The sequence below is a fragment of the Homo sapiens genome, chromosome 6 (assembly GCF_000001405.40).
Source record: "Homo sapiens chromosome 6, GRCh38.p14 Primary Assembly".
NCBI classification, from domain to species: Eukaryota; Metazoa; Chordata; class Mammalia; order Primates; family Hominidae; genus Homo; species Homo sapiens.
Genome location: NC_000006.12, coordinates 164,500,153 through 164,520,872, shown reverse-complemented (window position 1 = coordinate 164,520,872; position 20,720 = coordinate 164,500,153). Strand labels below are relative to the sequence as shown.

Below are 20,720 nucleotides of genomic sequence, written 5' to 3'. Positions count from 1 at the left end.
AGAGAGTGGGGAGGAGGTGCCACATACTTTTAAATGAACAGATTTCATGAGAACTCACTCACTACTCTGAAGACAGCACCAGGTCATAAGGGTTCTGTCTCCATGATCCAAATATCTCCCACTGGTCTTCTCCTCTAGCCTTGGGGATTATAATTCAACACGAGATTTTGGCAGAGACAAATATTTAAACTGTATCATTCTACCCCAGGCTTCTCTGGAATCACATTTCCTTCTCACATTGCAAAATATGATCATGCCTTCCCAACAGTCCCCCAAGGTCTTAATTCATTTTAACATTAACTTAATGTTCAAAGTCTAATCTGAGAGAGGGCAAATCCATTCCATCTATGAGCCTGTAAAATAAAAAACAAGTTATTTACTCCAAAGATACAATGGAGTTATAGGCATTGAGTAAACATTCCCATTTCAAAAGACAGAAATTGGCCAAAAGAAAGGGACTACATGCCCCATGCAAGTTTAAAACCCAGTAGGGGAGTCATTAAATATTCAAGCTCTAGGATAATTTCCTTTGACTCCATGTCCCATATCCAGGGCACAATGCTGCAAGGGGCAGGCTCCCAAACCCCTTTGGCTTTGCAGGGTGCAGCTCTGTGCTTGTTCCTGTGGTTTGAGTTGAGTGCCTGTGGCTTTTCCAAGCACAGGGTGCAAGTTCCTGATGGATCTACCATTCTGGGGTTTGGAAGACAGTGGCCCCCTTCCCACAGCTCCACTAGGAAGTGCCCCACTGGGGAATATGTGTGGGGACTGCAATCCCACATTTTCCCTTGGCACTGCCTAGTAGAGGTTCTCTGCCTGGGCTGGGCACCCAGGCTTTCCCATACATCCTCTGACATCTAATCAGAGGCTGCCAACTGTTCTTCATTCTTGCATTCTGTGCATATACAAGCTTAACACCAAGTGAAAGCCTCCAAAGCTTATGGCTTGCAATCTCCAAAGTGGCAGTCCAAGCTGCATCAGTGCCCCTTTGATCTGAGACCACAGCTGGAATGGCATGGACATAGAGAGCAGTGTCCTGAAGCTGCACAAGGCAACAAAGCCCTGGCCCTGGCCCATGAAACCATTCATTCTTCCTAGGCTTCTGTGTCTGTGATGGCAGGGACTTCCACGAAGTTTTCTGAAACGTCTTCAGTGCCTTTTCCCCATTGTCTTGGATATTAGCACTGGGCTGCATTTTAGTTATGCAAATATCTCTAGCAACAATTTGCTCCATAGCCTGCTTGAATTACTCCACCAAAAAAGCTTTTTCTTTCTTTGTCACATGGTCAGGCTTCAAATTTTCCAAATTTATATGCTCTGTTTATGGTTTAAATATAAATTCCAACTTTAGAAAATTCCTTTGTTCTGCATCTGAGCATCAGCTGTTAGAAACAGCCAGGCCACATCTTGAATACTTTGTTGTTTAGATATTTTTGCCACCAGATACCCTAGGTCACACTCTCAAGCTCAAACTTCCACAGTTCCCTGGGGCATGAACAGAATGAAGCCAAGCTCTTTGCTAAGGCATAACAGGCATGACCTTTGCTCCAGTTCCCAATAAGTTTCTTATTTCTATCTGAGACATTGGCAGCCTGGACTTCACTATCCATGTCACTATCAGCATTTTTGTCACAATCATTTAACCAGTATCTAAGAAGGCCCAAGCTTTCTCTCATATTCAGGTCTTCTTCTGAGTCCTCTAAACTCTTCCAACCTCTGCCCATTAGCCAGTTCCAAAATCACTTTCTCATTTTCAGGTATCTTTATAGCAACACCCCACTTCTTGCTACCAATTTTCTGTATTTGGTGCTCTTGCACTGCTATAAAGAAATACATGAGACTGGATAATTTATAAAGAAAAGAGGTATAATTAGCTCACAGTTCTGAAGGCTTTACAGGAAGCATGGTGTTAGCATCTGCTTGAATTCTAGGGAGACCTCAGGAAGCTGACAATTATGTTGGATGGCAAAGGAGGAACAGGCATATCACATGGCAAAAGCAGGTGCAAGCAAGAGAGAGAGAGTGGGCAGGAGGTGCCACACATTTTTAAATGATCAGATCTTGCAGAAATTCACTATCACAAAGACAGCAGCAAGCCATGAGGGATCTGCCCTCATGACCCATATACCTCCCACCATACCCCACATCCAGCACTGGGGATTACAATTCAATATGAAAGTAAGGCAGGGACAAATATTCAAACTATATCAATTCATCTTAGAAACAATTGGAATAGATGCAGGAATCCTAGGACAGGCAGAATTTCTCTTTAATGAAAAAAAAAGGCTGAGAAAAAAGAGTTATTGGCCTATATTCGTTGTTTAGAAGAGATATTACTCCAGAAGAAAGGGAAAGTAAGACAGAATAAAAAGACTCAGAAAAATAGATAAAACATACCCAAGAGCTATTTGGACAATATGACAAGGACAAAGATGATAAAGAGCATGGGCACCAACTCAAGCATGACCTCCAGATGGAAGTAGAAGCTTCTAAAGATGCTGTTGACACCTCCTCCCTCCCTCCTCACTATTCCTGTCCCCTGATTATTCAATCAAACAGTAATCTAGCTACTTCTGTGAAGGGATATTGCAGATGTGATTTAAGTCCCAAGTCAGGTCACCTTAGAATATAAATACTATCGAGGTGGGTCTGATCTGATCACAGAAGCCTTTTAAAAGGCAGATAAGAACTCAGAGAAACAGACTCTTGCCAGCTTCCAGGAAGAACAAACAGCTATGCTGTGGCTGCTGTTGGAGCAGAGTGGGCTGCTGATGGTATGTAGTGGACAACTCAAGGCTGAGAACAATCTCTGGCTGATAGCTAACAAGCAAATGGGACCTCAGTCCTACAACTGAGTACCTATAGCTGAGGAAATGAAATCTGCCAACAACTCAAATACTTCAAGAGGAGTCAGGGCCTCAGATGAGGGCACCTTGCTGTCAGCCTGTGAGGCCTGAGCAGAAGATCCAGCTAACTCATATAAGACACTGTTCAGTGGCCTTGTGCTTGTCTCCCTTGAGACCAGATATCTGTTGCCCAGTTTGGATTCAAACGCTTAAGATAAAGCACATGCTATGAATCCCAGAAAGGGCCTTAAGAGCTGTCCCTGGAAGACTGGGGCCTCTCTGATTCTTCAAGTGCCTTCTCTCTCTTGCTGTCCTGCACCATTTATCTTCATTAAACCCTCACATCAATGTATTGTGTGTGGTCTTGTAATATTTTCAATTATTACCTGGATATATGTAATCAATAGAGTTTTACGAATCATGAAGGTGTGGTATAGGCTGAGGACAGACATACTGGAAAATGGGACACAAGGGTCCAGAAGTAAACCCACATGTATTAGGTACTTGACTTATGACAACAGTACCACTGTAATGCCATAAGGAAAAGGATGCCATTTTCAATAAATAATGCATCATCGATTGACTATTCATATGAAAAAAGTAATACTGACCCATTTCTTACACTGTATATAAAGTCCAGATGCATTATTAATTGAAGAATGATATTAAAATGGTATGTTTTATCACTGGAGAAAATCTTAACAAAAAAAGCAAAATTAATAAAGAAATAGAATGCTGTTAAAGAAAATAAAACTAGATATGGTTTGGCTTTGTGTCCCACCCAGTTCCCATGTTGAATTGTAGTTCTGATAATCCCCACTAGTCATGGGAAGGACCTGGAAGGAGGTAATTGAATCCTGGGAGCAGTTACTGCCATGTGTTCTTGTGATAGTCAGTGAGTTCTCGTGAGATCTGATGGTTTTATAAGGGGCTTTCACCCCCTTGGCTTCCACTTCTCTCCCCAGCCACCATGTGAAGAACAATGTGTTTGCTTTCCCTTCTGCCATGATTTTAAGTTTTCTGAGGCCTCCCCAGTCATATGGAACTCTGAGTCAATTAAATCTCTTTCCTTTATAAATTATGCAGTCTTGGATATGTCCTTATAGAAGTGTGAGAATGGACTAATACAGAAAATTGATACCACAGAGAGTGGGCTGCGGCAATAAGGACAGCAGAAAATGTGGAATCAACTTTGGTACTGGGTAACAGGTAAAGGTTGGAACAGTTTGGAGGGCTCAGAAGAAGACAGAAAAATGGGAGAAAGTTGGAACTTCCTAGAGACTTGGAGGGCTCAGAAGACAAGAAGATGTGGGAAAGTTTGGAACTTCCTAGAAATTTGTTGAATGCCTTTAACCAAAATGTTGATAATGATATAAACAATGAAGTCCAGGCTGAGGTGGTCTCAGATGGAGATGAGGAACTTGTTGGGAACTGGGATAAAGGATAAACAATGAGGTCCAGGCTGAGTTGGTCTCAGATGGAGATGAGGAACTTGTTGGGAACTGGAATAAAGGTGATTCTTGCTATGCTTTAGCAAAGAGACTGGCAACGTTGTGCCCCTACCTGAGAGATTATTTTGAAACCTTAAGCTTTAATGATCGCCCTATTGGATTTTGTACTTGCATGGGGCCTATATCCCTTTCTTTTGTCCAATTTCTTCCATTTGGAATGGGTATATTTATTCAGTGCCTGTGCCCCCATTGTATCTTGGAAGTAACTAACTTGCTTTTGATTTTACAGGCTTATAGGTGGAAGTGACTTGCCTTGTCTCAGATGAGACTTTGGACTTGGACTTTTGGGTTAACGCCGGAATGAGTTAAAACTTTGGGGACTATTGCAAAGGCATGATTGTGTTTTCAAATGTGGGGACATGACATTTGGCAGGGGTCAGAGGTGGAATGATATTATTTGGCTTTGTGTCCCCAACCAAATCTCATCTTGAATTGTAGTTCCCATAATCCCCATGTGTTGTGGGAGGGATCAAGTAGGAGGTAATTTAATCATGGGGGCAGTTACCTCTATGCCGTTCTCATGATAGCGAGTGAGTTCTCATGAGATTTGATGGTTTTGTAAGGGGCTTTACCCCCTTTGCTTGGTGATTCTCTCTCCTGTTGCCATGTGAAGGACAGATTTGCTTCCCATTCTGCCATGATTGTAAATTTCCTGAGGCCTCCCCAGCCCGCAGAACTGTGAGTCAATTAAACCTCTTTCCTTTATAAATTACCCAGTTGTGGGTATGTCCTTTTAACAGCATGATAACAGGATAATACAAGCTATATGTAATTCTCACATTCAGTGAAAAGTATCATTCACAGATTACTAAGTTATATCTCATTCCCTTGAATTATAGATGTCTATTTCTATAATCATATAATGTGATGTTTAAACCTAAGTTTAGGACTTCAACATAGCCTGATTAATATTCTCTTTATGGTATTTAGCTATTGTTATGACCTGTAAGACTCACTGTAAATCTCAATTCCATCCCTTACCTTCTCCAACATCTACTCCTATGAGTCTGTCCTGCAGGTCTTCACCTGATCCTGTTGCTAAGAGTAGACCATCAGTTAAGGCCACATAGACTGACCCATTCCCCTTTTCCAAAGACCATCTTCTGCTGTGACCTGACGCTACTTCCTTTAGGAATAATTACAGTACTTGGAATAGAATGAAACTTTGTACTGCTGCAGGTCCTGGTGTGTTGATTCCCAAATGAAAGCAGAATATGAGAACACAGGAGACAGAAGAAACTTCGGGCAGGGAGTTTTGTGCTAGGGAAAGGTTGCAGCCAGGTCAGGCTGCTGTAACAAAAATATCATTGACTAAGTGGCTTAAACAACAAACAAACTCACAGTCCTGGAGTCCGGGAAGTCCAATATCAAGACATCAATAGATTTGGTATCTGTTGAGGGATGGCTTCCTGGTTCATAAATGGCACCTTCTCCCTGTGTCCTCACATGGTAGAAGAGGCAAGAGAACTCTCTGAGGCCTCTTCTATAAAAGCACTAATTTCATTTATGAGTTTCTACCCTCATGATCTCATCACTTCCCTAAGGCCCAACCTCCTAATACCAATGTCACAATTGACCTTTTAATTGTCGTAAGGAATAGATAAACTAATACATGCAAAGCACTTAGAACAGTGCCCAGCATACACAGTAAAAACTTTAGAAGTGATAGTAAATATTTTAAAAGAACTTTAATTTAGAAATTTAGTTAATTTAGGGCTCTGTTCTGTTCCATTGATCTATATCTCTGTTTTGGTACCAGTACCATGCTGTTTTGGTTGCTGTAGCCTTGTTGTATAGTTGGAAGTCAGGTAGCGTGATGCCTCCAGCTTTGTTCTTTTGGCTTAGGATTGACTTGGCGATGCGGGCTCTTTTTTGGTTCCATATGAACTTTAAAGTAGTTTTTTCCAATTCTGTGAAGAAAGTCATTGGTAGCTTGATGGGGATGGCATTGAATCTATAAATTACCTTGGGCAGTATGGCCATTTTCACGATATTGAGTCTTCCTACCCATGAGCATGGAATGTTCTTCCATTTGTTTGTATCCTCTTTTATTTCATTGAGCAGTAGTTTGTAGTTCTCCTTGAAGAGGTCCTTCACATCCCTTGTAAGTTGGATTCCCAGGTATTTTATTCTCTTTGAAACAATTGTGAATGGGATTTCACTCATGATTTGGCTCTCTGTTTGTCTGTTATTGGTGTATAAGAATGCTTGTGATTTTTGTACAATGATTTTGTATCTTGCAACTTTGCTGAAGTTGCTTATCAGCTTAAGGAGATGCCACATATCTACAACCATCTGATCTTTGACAAACCTGACAAAAACAAGCAATGGGGAAAGGATTCCCTATTTAATAAATGGTGCTGGGAAAACTGGCTAGCCATATGGAGAAAGCTGAAACTGGATCCCTTCCTTACACCTTATACAAAAATTAATTCAAGATGGATTAAAGACTTACATGTTAGACCTAAAACCATAAAAACCCTAGAAGAAAACCTAGGCAATACCATTCAGGACATAGGCACCGGCAAGGACTTCATGTCTAAAACACCAAAAGCAATGGCAACAAAAGCCAAAATTGACAAATGGGATCTAATTAAACTAAAGAGCTTCTGCACAGCAAAAGAAACTACCATCAGGGTGAACAGGTGGAGAAAATTTTGCAACCTACTCATCTGACAAAGGGCTAATATCCAGAATCTCCAATGAACTCAAACAAATTTACAAGAAAAAAACAAACAACCCCTTCAAAAAGTGGGCAAAGGAAATGAACAGACACTTCTCAAAAGAAGACATTTATGCAGCCAAAAAACACATGAAAAAATGCTCATCATCACTGGCCATCAGAGAAATGCAAATCAAAATCACAATGAGATCATCTCACACCAGTTAGAATGGCGATCATTAAAAAGTCAGGATACAACGTGCTGGAGAGGATGTGGAGAAATAGGAACACTTTTACACTGTTGGTGGGACTGTAAACTAGTTCAACCATTGTGGAAGTCAGTGTGGCGATTCCTCAGGGATCTAGAACTAGAAATACCATTTGACCCAGCCATCCCATTACTGGGTATATACCCAAAGGATTATAAATCATGCTGCTATAAAGACACATGCACACGTATGTTTATTGTGGCACTATTCACAATAGCAAAGACTTGGAACCAACCCAAATGTCCAACAACGATAGACTGGATTAAGAAAACGTGGCACATATACACCATGGAATACTATGCAGCCATAAAAAATGATGAGTTCATGTCCTTTGTAGGGACATGGATGAAACTGGAAACCATCATTCTCAGCAAACTATGGCAAGGACAAAAAACCAAACACCGCATGTTCTCACTCATCGGTGGGAATTGAACAATGAGAACACATGGACACAGGAAGGGGAACATCACACACCGGGGCCTGTTGTGGGGTGGGGGGAGAGGGGAGGGATAGCATTAGGAGATATACCTAATGTTAAATGACGAGTTAATGGGTACAGCACACCAGCATGGCACATGTATACATATGTAACAAACCTGCACATTGTGCACATGTACCCTAAAACTTAAAGTGTAATAATAATTAAAAAAATTTTTTTAAAGAAATTTAGTTAATTTAGGGAGTAACTGAAGCAACACAAAGAAATTATAAAATCTGTTAATCACAGTTCATTTTTCACCCATTTCATTAAAGCACAGATGGTTAAGCCTTCATCAAAAGCAAGCTTTTTCAGAAAAATAAAAGACAATTTTTTATACTGAAAGCACATAGACCACCTTAAGATATCTTCTTGGGCGTTTAACATCCACACTTACCAACACTGCAGTTGTGCCCTGTGGTAAGAGTCAAGGCTTAGCAGCCTGGCCTTAACCCATCAGATGGACACAACCCAGGTGCCATTTATTCAGCCTTTAGCATGGACTCTGCTTGGCACAGATGCTGTGTCAATGTATTAGTTCCTTTTCATGATGCTGATAAAGACATACCCAAGACTGGGAAGAAAAAGAGGTTTAATTGGACTTATAGTTCCACATGGCTGGGGAGGCCTCAGAATCATAGCAGGAGGCAAAAGGTACTTCTTACATGGTGGCAGCAAGAGAAAAATGAGAAATAAGCAAAAGGGGAAATCCCTGATATAGCCATCAGATCTTGTGAGACTTATTCACTATCATGAGAATAGCACGGGAAAGACTGGCCCCCATGATTCAATTACCTCCCCCTGGGTCCCTCCCACAACACTTGGGAATTCTGGGAGCTACAATTCAAGTTGAGATTTGGATGGGGACACAGTGAAACCATAACAGCCAATTTCCACAGAAACAAGTGCTGGAATATGGGACCACACATAGAGTATGCTTGACTATAAAAAGTTTAAATTCCTTTCAAGAAATTGTAGAAATTATTCTGGAATCTTGAAATGTAAAACAAATTCTCACTAAAAGTATTTCTACAGATAATCCTATGGCTATTTGTAACATTATTTTTGAACATTAATATTGAGTTAAAATAGATAGTTGAAGTAGCCTGGAAGATCATCTTCTAATAGATCGGCCTGTGGCTCGCAGGAAGTCTGTTCCCACCTCATTACAGTGATCTTGCATTAGTGTGTGAATAGGAACCACCCAAGCTTGACTTGCTGTGAACACCAACATTTTAGTTCCCTCAGATTCCAGTTTCACAGCATTTTCTTTGGAATAATGAATATGCTTTAAGATGTTCCTGTTAAAGTGTCTTTGTATTGTATTTGCAATATTCACTATTTTATAGAACCATTAAAACTTTAAATTTGAAAAGAAAATTAAAGGCATTAATTTTTAAAACTTGAAATCGTGTAAGAAGGAAAAAAAGTCAATACTGTTCAAGTCACACATTCCCGCAGTTGCTCTGCCATCTGCCTCCTCCACTCTTTGTTTATGTAGGGTCCCTCCTGCCCTGGCCTGTGGCTCTCTGCTTTTCTGGAGGCATAATTCCTATGCAGAATTTAGGACCTGCTTACTGATTCCTGATAAGTATAGAAGTGAATAATATTTAGAATTGTAAGAGAACTTATGTTTTACCTATGTAAAGAATCAGGATAGTTCTAGGTTTTGGCATTTATACATGAAATGCAGGAGAGGGCAGGACAGTTAAATATATTTTCAGCACACTTAGAAATGGTTAATGAGAGAACATGTTCTGAAAGTACCTTATTGGGGCAGTGTCATATTAATACCTATTACTGTGAATTTTCTCTATATTTTTCTGTTCCCTTTTAAACCATCTAACTTGTAAACGCTAAAGGAAAAATTGTTTTTTTAGTTCAAGAGTCAGAACCTTATGATGTTTTAAAATCGAAAACATCTTCTCTTGGGGGACAAAAAAATAAGTTGTTCGTGTCTATGAGCACTGACTGTGGGCCTGGGGGAAAATAGTAGCTAGGCTTACACCTGCAAATAAATCAGCCCTTATTCTGTTTGTCTGTGGGCTTAAGGTCTTTCTATATATCCAAGCCATCTAGAGCCTTTTTACTTTTGGATTATTCAAAGGGGATACTCTACATAATGCCATAAATATTATGTATTCAGATTGCTTTAGATTCGCCGCCTAAGATATAAACCGTCATGCCCCAAATTCCTACTTATTTTGAATCATTTAGGTTAAAACACAGTTCCAGGTTAAAATGGCAATATGTAGGCCTCATCTCTATTTTGTAAAAATGTCTTTCTGAAATGATGCGTGAGAGGCATGAGTTCACAAGTCAGCATCAGAGGATGTCACTCTCAGACGGAAAAACAAGCTACTACTGGGATTACCACCACCTCCTCAAACTGAGGCATCAAGATGGGCAGGAAAAAGACTTTGTGGCCACTGGGGACCCCAGACTGGTGGGCTCGCCATCCGAATTCCCTGTGTCCCTGAAAATTGGGGAAGTCCAAGTAGGCAATTCCCTTTTCCATTGTTCTGCCTGCTCAAAACTCTTTCAGAGTTTCCAGCGGAAAGCCAGGCAAATTAAATTTTTCAACCCTCATGCAAAAAAAATTAGTTGTTACTGGAAACAAGTGGAAGAAATGGGTCTGTGTTTCCTTCACAAATTCAAGTAAATAGGTTGTCACTCAGTGACAACCCATGAGTGTCTCTTGATCTCCTGGGGTCAGCCCCTGATATGGGCAAAGACCACATACAAAGGCCTATGGCACTGCTGGCTACTCTGCCGTCCCCTACCCCAACTACTCCATGGAGAGCCTGAATGTAAGTAAGGTCAGTGGTGAAGCCAGAGAGAATGTGGAAATGAACTGTGAACAGCTACACAGAGAGGTGGTACTCAGCAAGTGCATCCCAGCATGTTGGGGTCTCATGGTAGCCTCTCTGCATGGGTGGGAGTTGGCAAGAGGGGAAGGTGTCAACCTCACCAATGTCCACCACACCCAGTTCTCCCTTGCTTACTGGGCACAGAGATGACCAGTTCCCTTGCAGTTGGATTGGGGCATGTTACCAATTCTTGCTAAGAATTATAAGTAGAAGTGATGGTTGTCACTTTTGGCCAAGGCAAGGACAGGCCCTGCATAGTTTCCTGGCCTCGCTTTCCTCTGCCCTTGTGAATGTTGAGGCTCTGATGAGGTTGTCTCTACCACACTGAGCCTGAATGACCATGCAGAACCAAACTCTTGCTGACTGCCTCCCACCTTCCTTCCCCCACCACAATCTGGACTGTGGGAGTGAAAAATAAAATGTTATGGTAGAAGACCCTGAGATGAGATTTGAGCTGTTTTTTTTTTCTTACTGTTGCATAAACATAAGAGGTAAGAAGGAAGTTCTCCTGGTACTCAGATCAGGATTCAGGGTTAGGATCATCCACAGACAAAGATGCCTAAACTCTGGGGAGCCTCAGCTATTTCCCTTCATGCACTGGTTATTTGAAATCATCTTTAGTTAATTAATGTGAAAGAATTACATTATTTCATGAGAGAATATTGTAATAGTTTTTAAAGGGTAAAAATATGGCTATAGAAAGGTTGAGTGTTGCCTACATATTTCTATAGATGCAGTAACAATCATTGAGTTAAACTTTTAATAATAGATGGTGAGTTTGTTTTCTCAGTTTTATTACTGAGCTGCTGGTAGCCTGGGATTAAAGCAGATGAGACTGACAGGCAGAGAGGGGGTTTCAATGCATGACAGTTTCAAGGATCTGCTCAGATGCACCGTGGGTAGCTTGGAAAAGCAGGATGGCAAAAAGCTATAAAAACCACCAAAAATCAAACCAAACTGGCAAAGATATACTGTGTTCAGAGCTTCTTGCTGGCTGCTGAAAGAGAACAGGGGATCTTGGAAAGGGAGGAATGTAGACCGAAAAGAATCTCTGCAGACTTGTACCTTTACCAATTATATTTTAAAGGCATTTAATTGTTCATCTGTTATGCAGAGGAGTGCACTATGAGTTTCCTATGGATGTGCTGAAAGTATGTGTAGGAAAACATTAATGAACATGCATTTTTTGAAATACTGGAATAAATCACAGTTGCACCTTGCAGGTAGTTGGTGCTTTAAAAATGCACAAAACACTCATAAGGTCACTATAGTATTAGATGCTTACAGTAGTCCCACAATGGAGGCAGGGTGGACATTAGTGCTATTCCCCTTTTACCAAGTCATTGAGACTCTAAGATATGAAGTGACTTTTGACAGTGACATGCTGAGCTGGAACGTAAGCTTATATTTTACAATTTCTAAGTCCAACTCTTTGTTTTAATATTGCACACCAACTTTTCCTAATTAAAGATATGATCTGATTTATGAAAGAAATTACTTGCCTAGAAATGATCAAAATAATTTGAAAGAAACTAAATCCTATTAACTTTTATTTACTGCCATTTGTATGTAATATTTAAGATTAAAATATTCATTATTTTTCCTTGAAGTAAGTATTATGTGGTCTGGATTGCCTAGGACCAATTGAAAAGCATTTTATAGATGATAATATGACTTGGTACAAAATGCTGATTAAAGTGAAGCATAAAAAATTATTTATGCATCACATATCTCCATAACATATGACTGAGCACATTTTATATTAATTTATTATGGGAAGTGTAGCCACTTACAATTAATCATATATTAGAAAGCGAGTTTCCTTAATCTATGGTGTGGTACTATTTTACTTTATGTAGCATGATTCATGCAAGTGGTATAAATAGCCTTAGAGAGTTAAACAACAGCCATAGACCATAATGATAAATAATGGAAGAGAAAAAAATTAATGAATAGAAGAAAGTGAGAAAAGATACATTATCAAATAAGCGAGAAGAAAGGATTGCAAGTATAATTTAAAGTCTTGCCAAAATGGATTGGTAGTTTCCAGGAAGAACATTTACATCATGCTCCTAGAACACTTACCAGCCAGTGCAGTGTGAATATTTCACTTCAGTAAGAATAACAGAGATGCAGCTCATACTGCAGTTGTTTTAAAGGCAGACTTGAGAAAATTCAAACTCTAGCCATGAGAAAAGATCCTCAAGTTACTTTTACGTGGAAAAATCTGAGGCTCTGAAGTTCTTTGGCTCATAGTAACAAACAAGCAGTCCCTTTTCGTTATCGTTGTGATTTTCATTGTAATGGTTTCTAATTTAGTCTTGAGATCTTTCTCTTGAGAATGGCCATGAGCCGTGATACCACTTTCTAGGAGAGTCCTGACAGGGGAGTTTATTCTGGTGTGTGTATCTGGTGAGACAATGAGGAAGTGAAACCAAAATGCACGAAACAGAAGAAATTTATTACTTACAGGTCTGGAGAGGTCGGGGTGCTGATGGGCAGCCAACAGGAAGTCCAGAGGCAATAGAGTGCTTAACTAGCTGGTGGGGGAGGAGAGAGAGAGAGTCAGAGAGAGAGAACCTGTGAGACTGCAGCTATACTAAAACCCATAGGTGTTATCACTTAAGCTTTCTCAAAGGAGTTGTGGCTTGAGTCCTTTTAAGACAACACGCTCAAAGTGGGGAACTTGATCACAGGACTCTGATGTTAACCATTAGGTTTCACCATGGCCAGCAGCTGTGGGGTGTGTTGGGTTTGGGGTCAGCAGGATGAAAAACGAGCAGACAATATCTCAAAGCACCGTAAGGGCCAGGAAACTTAACTAGACTGAAGGGGACAGGGTGCAGCTGGGCTTCCAGCAACTTACGTCAGGCTTAAAAATAGATGCTGAGGCGGAAACTTTATTAAGCAAATGTATGACAATCATATTAGCCAAAATCTGAGTACTGGTTTTTCCAAAACCCAAAGGGTGATTATTAGTGGTCTTAAAAAGCCTTGTTGATGACATGTTGAGCCTAAGGATGAAATGCTGTGTGAAGAGAGGCTCCAACTATATGCACAGCCTGTTTGTATTCCCGGATCCGCGTCGGGCAGGCTGTTACCTGGATGGAGAAGCACGTCATCAGAACAAACGGGACAAGTGAGGAAAGAAATGCTTCCACCTAAAATTCATTCAGTCTCCAAGAAGGAGGACTTCTGTTTTACCAGAGAGAGGAATCAGAGCATTCTCTGTTCCAGAATGGCAGATAAAAGTGGCACACTGGAGACACTTTAGAAAGGCTGACTATAAAAAAATGAGATATTTTTTCACAGGTGAAATTGGCAAAAGTGTCTTATCAATCTGTAGCCAGACTCACCACACATGTGAGCAATTAGAAATCCACAAGTATTTCTAGAAGTTTAAGGAAAATTTCTACCAAATCAATTTCTGTTTTCCTTACACTCCACCTGGAAATTGGCTGAACAATCAAAGATGAACTGATAGATAACATGATCCTGATGAAGATTAGCAAGTTTAATAACTTTTTTCTTATCTGAAATAGAATTATAGGTTGGTGCAAATGCAATCGTGGTTTTTGTCAAACCACGATTGCTTTTGCGCCAATCTAATATTATGAAAATGATATGGGTTTGTTTTAGTAAAAAGAAGATATTGATAAAGTATTATAATTTGCTTAGGTAGAAAAGATGTCACAGATTTTCTTCACTTACTTAAATAACAATGCGTCTGAAAAAAATATATATATAAACATATACACTCTCCACACACACCCACACCCATACCCACACCCACAAGGATGTGGGTTGCTACATGGTAGAGTGAGCTGGGATGGCTAGGGACTACAGGTTATTGGACCATTGGATAAGATATGTAAGAAGGGAGGGGAAGGGAAGGAGAGGGGAGGGGAAAGGGAGGGGAGTGGAGGGGAGGGGAGGGCAGGGCAGGGCAGGGCAAGGCAGGGCAGGGAAGGGAAAGGAAGGGAAGGGAAGGAGTGATCACCACCTCACGAGACTAACAAATGGAAAGAAAACAAAAGGAAGCACAAGTCTGGGGAGGGGAGGAAGTGGAGAAAATGTTTGTTGGAGGTGCTCCATTAGGCCCACTGGCCAATTATCTTAAAAGAAGTTCAACAAAAAATGAGTCAGGTAATATGGATTTTTCCCCTTTATTCAATGGATTTGGGTTTAGAATTAACTGAGGTTATAGATGTTCTGTTTATGTGAGCTTTCCAGCCAAACCAAAGGCTTTTCCAGACACGTTTCTGTCTCCTGATCTTGTTCCTGGCCATATTCTCCTTTCCCAGAGGACATAAAGATAATTATGTCACTGAGGACAAGGAGTGTGGCTTCTGGAGAGCAGAGTGCTGACCTAAAATCAGAAACTTGGACGACACCAGAGGAAACAATATGGTAGAGGATCAGTCTGCAGAGCCCATGAAGAGACAAGTCTCAGACAACCAGAATTGGAAAGTTATGTAGGAAAGAATGACATCAGTTAAAAGCACCGAAGTGGGTTATCACTGTGCTATTCACAAGATTACTAATTCTCACCTACCAATGTACAAATTACTCAAATATTGTGCCCTCTTTATTTTCAGGGGGAGATTTTGCACAATGTTAAGTCTTCTGTGAGTGACATAACGTGCCGGCAGATCCATTTTATTCAAACAAAGATGCGGACAGGTAGTGGCAGTTCCATGACAGGGGAACTGTTCTGCAGACATGCCTCACAGTGTGAAAAGGGCTTTTTCTCTTCTCCCCAGTGATTCATTCTCATAGGAAAGAGAAATGGTTTCAACCCCAAATTTATTGAACTTTCATTTGTATTTCCACTTGAAACAAAATTACCATGAAAAGGAAGAATAGAAATTTATTGTATTTTACCTTAGGTATATTTGGCATTTTTGAAAGTTAAAAATATGTAGGCAAATATAAATTTATATAAATTACAGAAATATGTATTTATCATGCCCGTATTGTGTAGTACAAGGCACCTTGCTTGGTTAGAGTTACAGAGGGTAAAAATGGAAAAGATCTCTTCCTATGCATGTGGAATGGAAAAGATGGCCCATGTTTTTCAAGTCTGTTCCCTTGAAGATGTTGCCTTTTCCCTCATCCTAGCAAAACTAACTATTCTAACCTTTGTTCGCTTGTTAACAGTCAGTATCAACCATGCCACTGGAGAGTCTGAGCACATTGAATCGTGTCTTTTCTTTAGCTTTGCATATTCAGCCTTAGTAAGTTTTTGCCATAAACTCCGTACTGTAAGATATCTGTGGCATAAGTGAACAAATAATTGCCACCTCCATTGGTTAGAGTTACCTCAAAACCTGGGTCTGGCTTCCCAGTCCAGGTTTCCATGTAGCAGATCACAAATAGACACACAGAATTGTGTGGACATCCAAGAGCTAGATATAACTACAAGTCTTATAAACAAAGCATTAACATGCAGAAAACCAAACTTCATGTTTTTGAAAGCTTCCTCTCACTAATGACCTGCTGCCTAATGTCTCCAAGAAAACCATCATTCAAGCATGCCAGCATGCCTCTCTATAATTTAGCATTTGTAAATTATTTACTTGATTCTTTTTTTCAACCAGTATACTAACATATGTAATTAAAACCAAATTTACAATCACAGTCTCTAAGGACACACAAAGATTACTATTGGGCTTTCAAAATGCCAGCCAACAAAAATCTGAATTAATTAGCCACCTTCCTCTACACATGAATCTGTGGCTTGTATTTTACTTTCCTTGTGATTTTCAACTCTTCTAAGCTGATTGATCAAGAAACCCGGCCCAGCGTGGTGGCTCACACCTGTAATCCCAGCACTTTGGGAGGCCAAGGTGGGTGGATCATGAGGTCAGGAGTTTGAGACCAGCCTGGCCAGCATGGTGAAACCCCGTCTCTACTAAAAATACAAAAAAATTAGCCAGGCATGGTGGCGCATGCCTGTAGTCCCAGCTACTCAGGAGGCTGAGGCAGGAGAATTGCTTGAACCCAGCAGGCAGAGATTGCAGTGAGCCAAGATCGTGCCACTGGACTCCAGTCTGGGCAACAGAGTGAGACTCTGTCTCAAAAAAATAAATAAAAAATAAAAGAAACTCATCATTCTGAAGTTGGACATTTGTAAGATGTATTCCATTTCCAAGCTGGTCAGCTGGGATTTCTACTAGCAGTGTTTCTTTTATTTGATAAGCTCTGTAATTGGTCAATGACAAGAAAACATTTTATACCATGACAAGTCACCAGCTTCTATATGGAGACAGGCATGGGACATCGTTATAACTAGACCAATGACAAGGGAATACAAAACACTAGCACATGTTTGGAGAACACAGTTTTCTCCTTTCCATCTTCCCCACAAAGTTTGGCTTAATGTAGAAGTTAATAAGCCATGCTGTCATTCAAAACAGACATGCAACGAACTCCGGTGTTGGGTACTGCTTTTCCCTTTCACCAAGAGGCCTTCAAAAAGTCACTGTGCTTCTCTAAGCTTCGGTTGTATCACTGGTAAGGTAGGGATAATGGTAAAATTCCCTCACTGGGAAGAGTAGACGGAACAAGGGAAGCACAAGAGAAGTCTTGCCTGTTAGGAAGAGCAGAAGTTTTGGAGCAACAGAACTGGACTGAGGCTGGAATTAACATTCACCAACCGCTAACATTACTGCCGATGCAAATTGGAGCAAGTGATTTAAACTGTTTAAGTTTCAGTTTTCTTGTCATTGAGATGGGGATAATTAGACATGTTTGATGGGACGCTTTTGAGGCCAATTAAATATCCACAAAATAATCTGCACATAGCTTCTCTTCAGTAAATGAAAGCTGTTACATTGCTCTATAGCTCTTTGTGCCTTTATATGTACCATGTATCAGTTCCTCTTGCCTATTCATCATTATATTATCTCCCCTTTCCCTACACTGAGTGCTGCAAAACACTGAGAGTCAATCAAATTGAAACTCATGGATCTATAGTTACCTGTAAGCAATCTGTGGACTAGATTTTTGTATAAAGAAAGAAAAATCCAAAGGAACAACAGTATTATTTTTTACAAATCTGGCCAGTCTCCAAGGACTTTGCCTCTTAGAAACGAACTTTCTCCTGACCAGAGATCACTGATTAGCTGAAAGCCACTGTTAGGCTGACTCCCCTAGTCAGCAAATCACTTCTCTGACCTTTCATTTCCCCTCCTGGAAACGGTGGATAAGCGTTGGGGAAGGTTCTCATTTCCTCTAACCACTGCATAGACTAATGCACCTACGAGAGTGTTTGAAATGTTGCCAGCTGCTTAGAGAGAAAAAAAAACACACACACACACGTAGATGCATTCTATTGACTACTTTATGTGTCGTTACTTAAATTTTAACTGGACTGATTTTCTTAAGCTATGTAAGTTGAGACTTTTGTCTCTAAAAAAAATTATACCTCAGGTGCACAGAATTAGATTAATCATAACCTTTAATTCATAGTCCATCTTCATGATCCACCTGTGTATTAGTTAAATTTTAAATTTAAATATATATTCAACACCAAAAACACTACCGCTCAAAACAGCTATTAAAATAGTTTTCAAAACGAATGTTCTAACTTAGAGTTTGAAGAAATTTACAACTTTTAAAATAGCATACAGTTAAGTAAGTTCTTGACTTGGTCTATACACTATAAAATATTTTTAATATTTTAACTGCAATTTAACAATTTATCATAAAAGGACATTTTCTTGCACTTTCTAAAGTGTAAGGAAATGACTTCTGGCATCTTCAGAAACTTCATTGTAAAAGTAAACTCAATTAAAACATCAACAACATACTTTTAATTTTTGCTTGGAGGACTGGTTACAGTTAAAAAACAATTAAAAATTGTTTTTAAAAACAACCAATATAACCATATAGAAATGAAGCAGAAGAGTTGTTTCATATTGTGATTATTTGCAGGGCAGGCTTGTGAGGTTGTCAGAAATTCTAGGAAGACATTGTGTTTTCCTGTTTTTCTAAAAGTTATATTTCTATCAATTATAAGGTACAAGAGGCCATTTTTAAATTGTGCTTATAAACGTATTTATTTAGATAACACATTTTTTTAACATATTTGACTATTTTTATTGTATGTAAACTTGGAAGTTTGCTTGAATTCAGAAAAAAAGTGTGAAGAGCCTCAAATTCTTGATGGAACAAGCCACATTATATAGAAGGATATCTGCCTTTAAGTTGATATAATTTAAAAAGCTTAATAGATATATATGTGTATGTGTGTATGTGTATATATATATATAAATTTTTTTTGAGATGGAGTCTCACTCTGTCACCCAGGCTAGGGTGTACTGGTGTGAACTTCACTCACTGCAGCCTCCGCCCCTAGGTTCAAGTGATTCTCCTGCCTCAGCCTCCTGAGAACTGGGACTAGAGGTGCACACCACCATGCCTGGCTAGTTTTCGTATTTTTAATAGAGATGGGGTTTCATCATGTTGGCTATGCTGGTGTCAAACTCCTGACCTCAAGTGATCCGCCTGCCTCTGCCTCCCAAAGTGCTGCGATTACAGGTGTGAGCCACCACACCTGGCCAATAGAGAAATATTTTGATATTAAGTCTTTATAGCTATCTTCAGAAGAATTAACCAAATAATCAATGTAATCTCAGGTTATTTGTTTCAACTACAATTATATATTGCATTTATTAATAATCTGGTTTTTAAATTGTGATGGTGCTGTAACATGTAAACAGTTTTGTTTATAATTGTCTCACTAATTATTCATGGAGACACCCGTCTATTACCATCAGAGTTGCAAGCAAACTTTTGAGCAGCTGACATAGTAAAAGTTCTAATTTGTAGCAATAGGCATGTACAAAGTTATTCAGTTATATTCTATGCATTTATCAAATTCCCTGTATATGAAGAATACTATCACAAGAATCAGGTAGATGTATTACCATTCATTCATGAGTAAATACTGACTTGAAATATAATTGAGCATGTATGTTTTGCGAAAACTTGAGCTGGATTTTGAAGAAGCAATGGTGGTAATATCTAGTAAAATCAATGAAAATGGAAAGTATAGATAGAGGGATCAATAAACAGATGATACATATAGATATCTTGATATCCATGTAGGGATATGTTCTAATTACTTTCTACAGTTGTCCCTTGTAATCTGTGGGTGATTGGTTCTAGAACATCTGTGTATATCAAAATTCAAAATCCACAAATAGCCAAGTCTCTTTTATAAAATGGTGTAGTATTTGCCTATAACCTATGCACATTCTCTTGCATCCTTTAAATCATCTCTAGATTACTTATAATACCTAACACGTTGTAAATGCTGTGTAAATAATTGTTATACTGTATGGTTTAATAATAAAAAAAAGTCTGTACATGTTCAGTACAGCTGTGACCATTCCTTTTTTAAATGATATATTAGATTTGTGGTTGATTGAATCCACGGATGCAGAATCCATACATATGAAGGGCCAACTTTCTATATAACTCATATATTCCTTAAATAACAATATAAGGTGGAAATGTCCTCTACCTTCGTATAAAAGATGAGAAAGAAAAGTAAATTTCTTGGTCAATGTTTTTATTATCAATTTGTATTATGATCATGTAAAGGCAGCATTTTCCCTGGGGCCTAATATTGCCAAATAATCTTTAATAATTACATTTAAAAATAAAGAATGAGTAGGTGCTTTCAGAAAGAATTACTGAAGTGGACAGCAAGGGAAACTGAAAATGATAACTATTACAAGAGTCGAGTGAAAGTTGAAGAGAGGTTTGAAGGAGAGAAAAGGATAGAGAGAGTTACTTGAAAGTAGGAATTGAAGCCTAATATATATGAGTGAGTTTGTTTAGCAGAAACAGAGAATAATAGTTGGAGCAGGGTAGGAACAGCAACCAGTTGACTAAAGCAGAGTACACAATTTGCTGAGTCCTAATACAAGAGGTTTCAATTTAATTTAAGTGGCTATTGTAAGCCCTCAAGGGCTCTTCTAAAGGCAGTGATGATTAATCCTGAGCAGGAGAAGATAACTCTTAATGTTCCTGTAGAATGGATCAAGCAGGGGTGAACTGGAGCCAGTGAGGCCAA

At 39.4% G+C, this 20,720-nt stretch overlaps 1 long non-coding RNA gene across 2 annotated transcripts in view, besides 1 other annotated feature; it reads right to left on the bottom strand.

Moving 5' to 3' along the window:
- Window positions 1-20,720, bottom strand: part of LOC107986667 (uncharacterized) — a 90,129-nt gene that overhangs the window by 6,830 nt on the left and 62,579 nt on the right. For both annotated transcript variants that reach the window (XR_001744460.3, XR_001744458.2), the window contains exon 2: window positions 13,104-13,173. This is a non-coding gene — a long non-coding RNA (uncharacterized LOC107986667). The remainder of the gene's footprint in view (window positions 1-13,103; window positions 13,174-20,720) is intronic.
- Window positions 12,711-12,890: an enhancer, noted in NCBI's record as "active region_25426". NCBI's record gives its function as "activates an Ori minimal core promoter by ATAC-STARR-seq in GM12878 lymphoblastoid cells {active_cell/tissue: GM12878}" and the evidence as "EXISTENCE:reporter gene assay evidence [ECO:0000049][PMID:35858748]".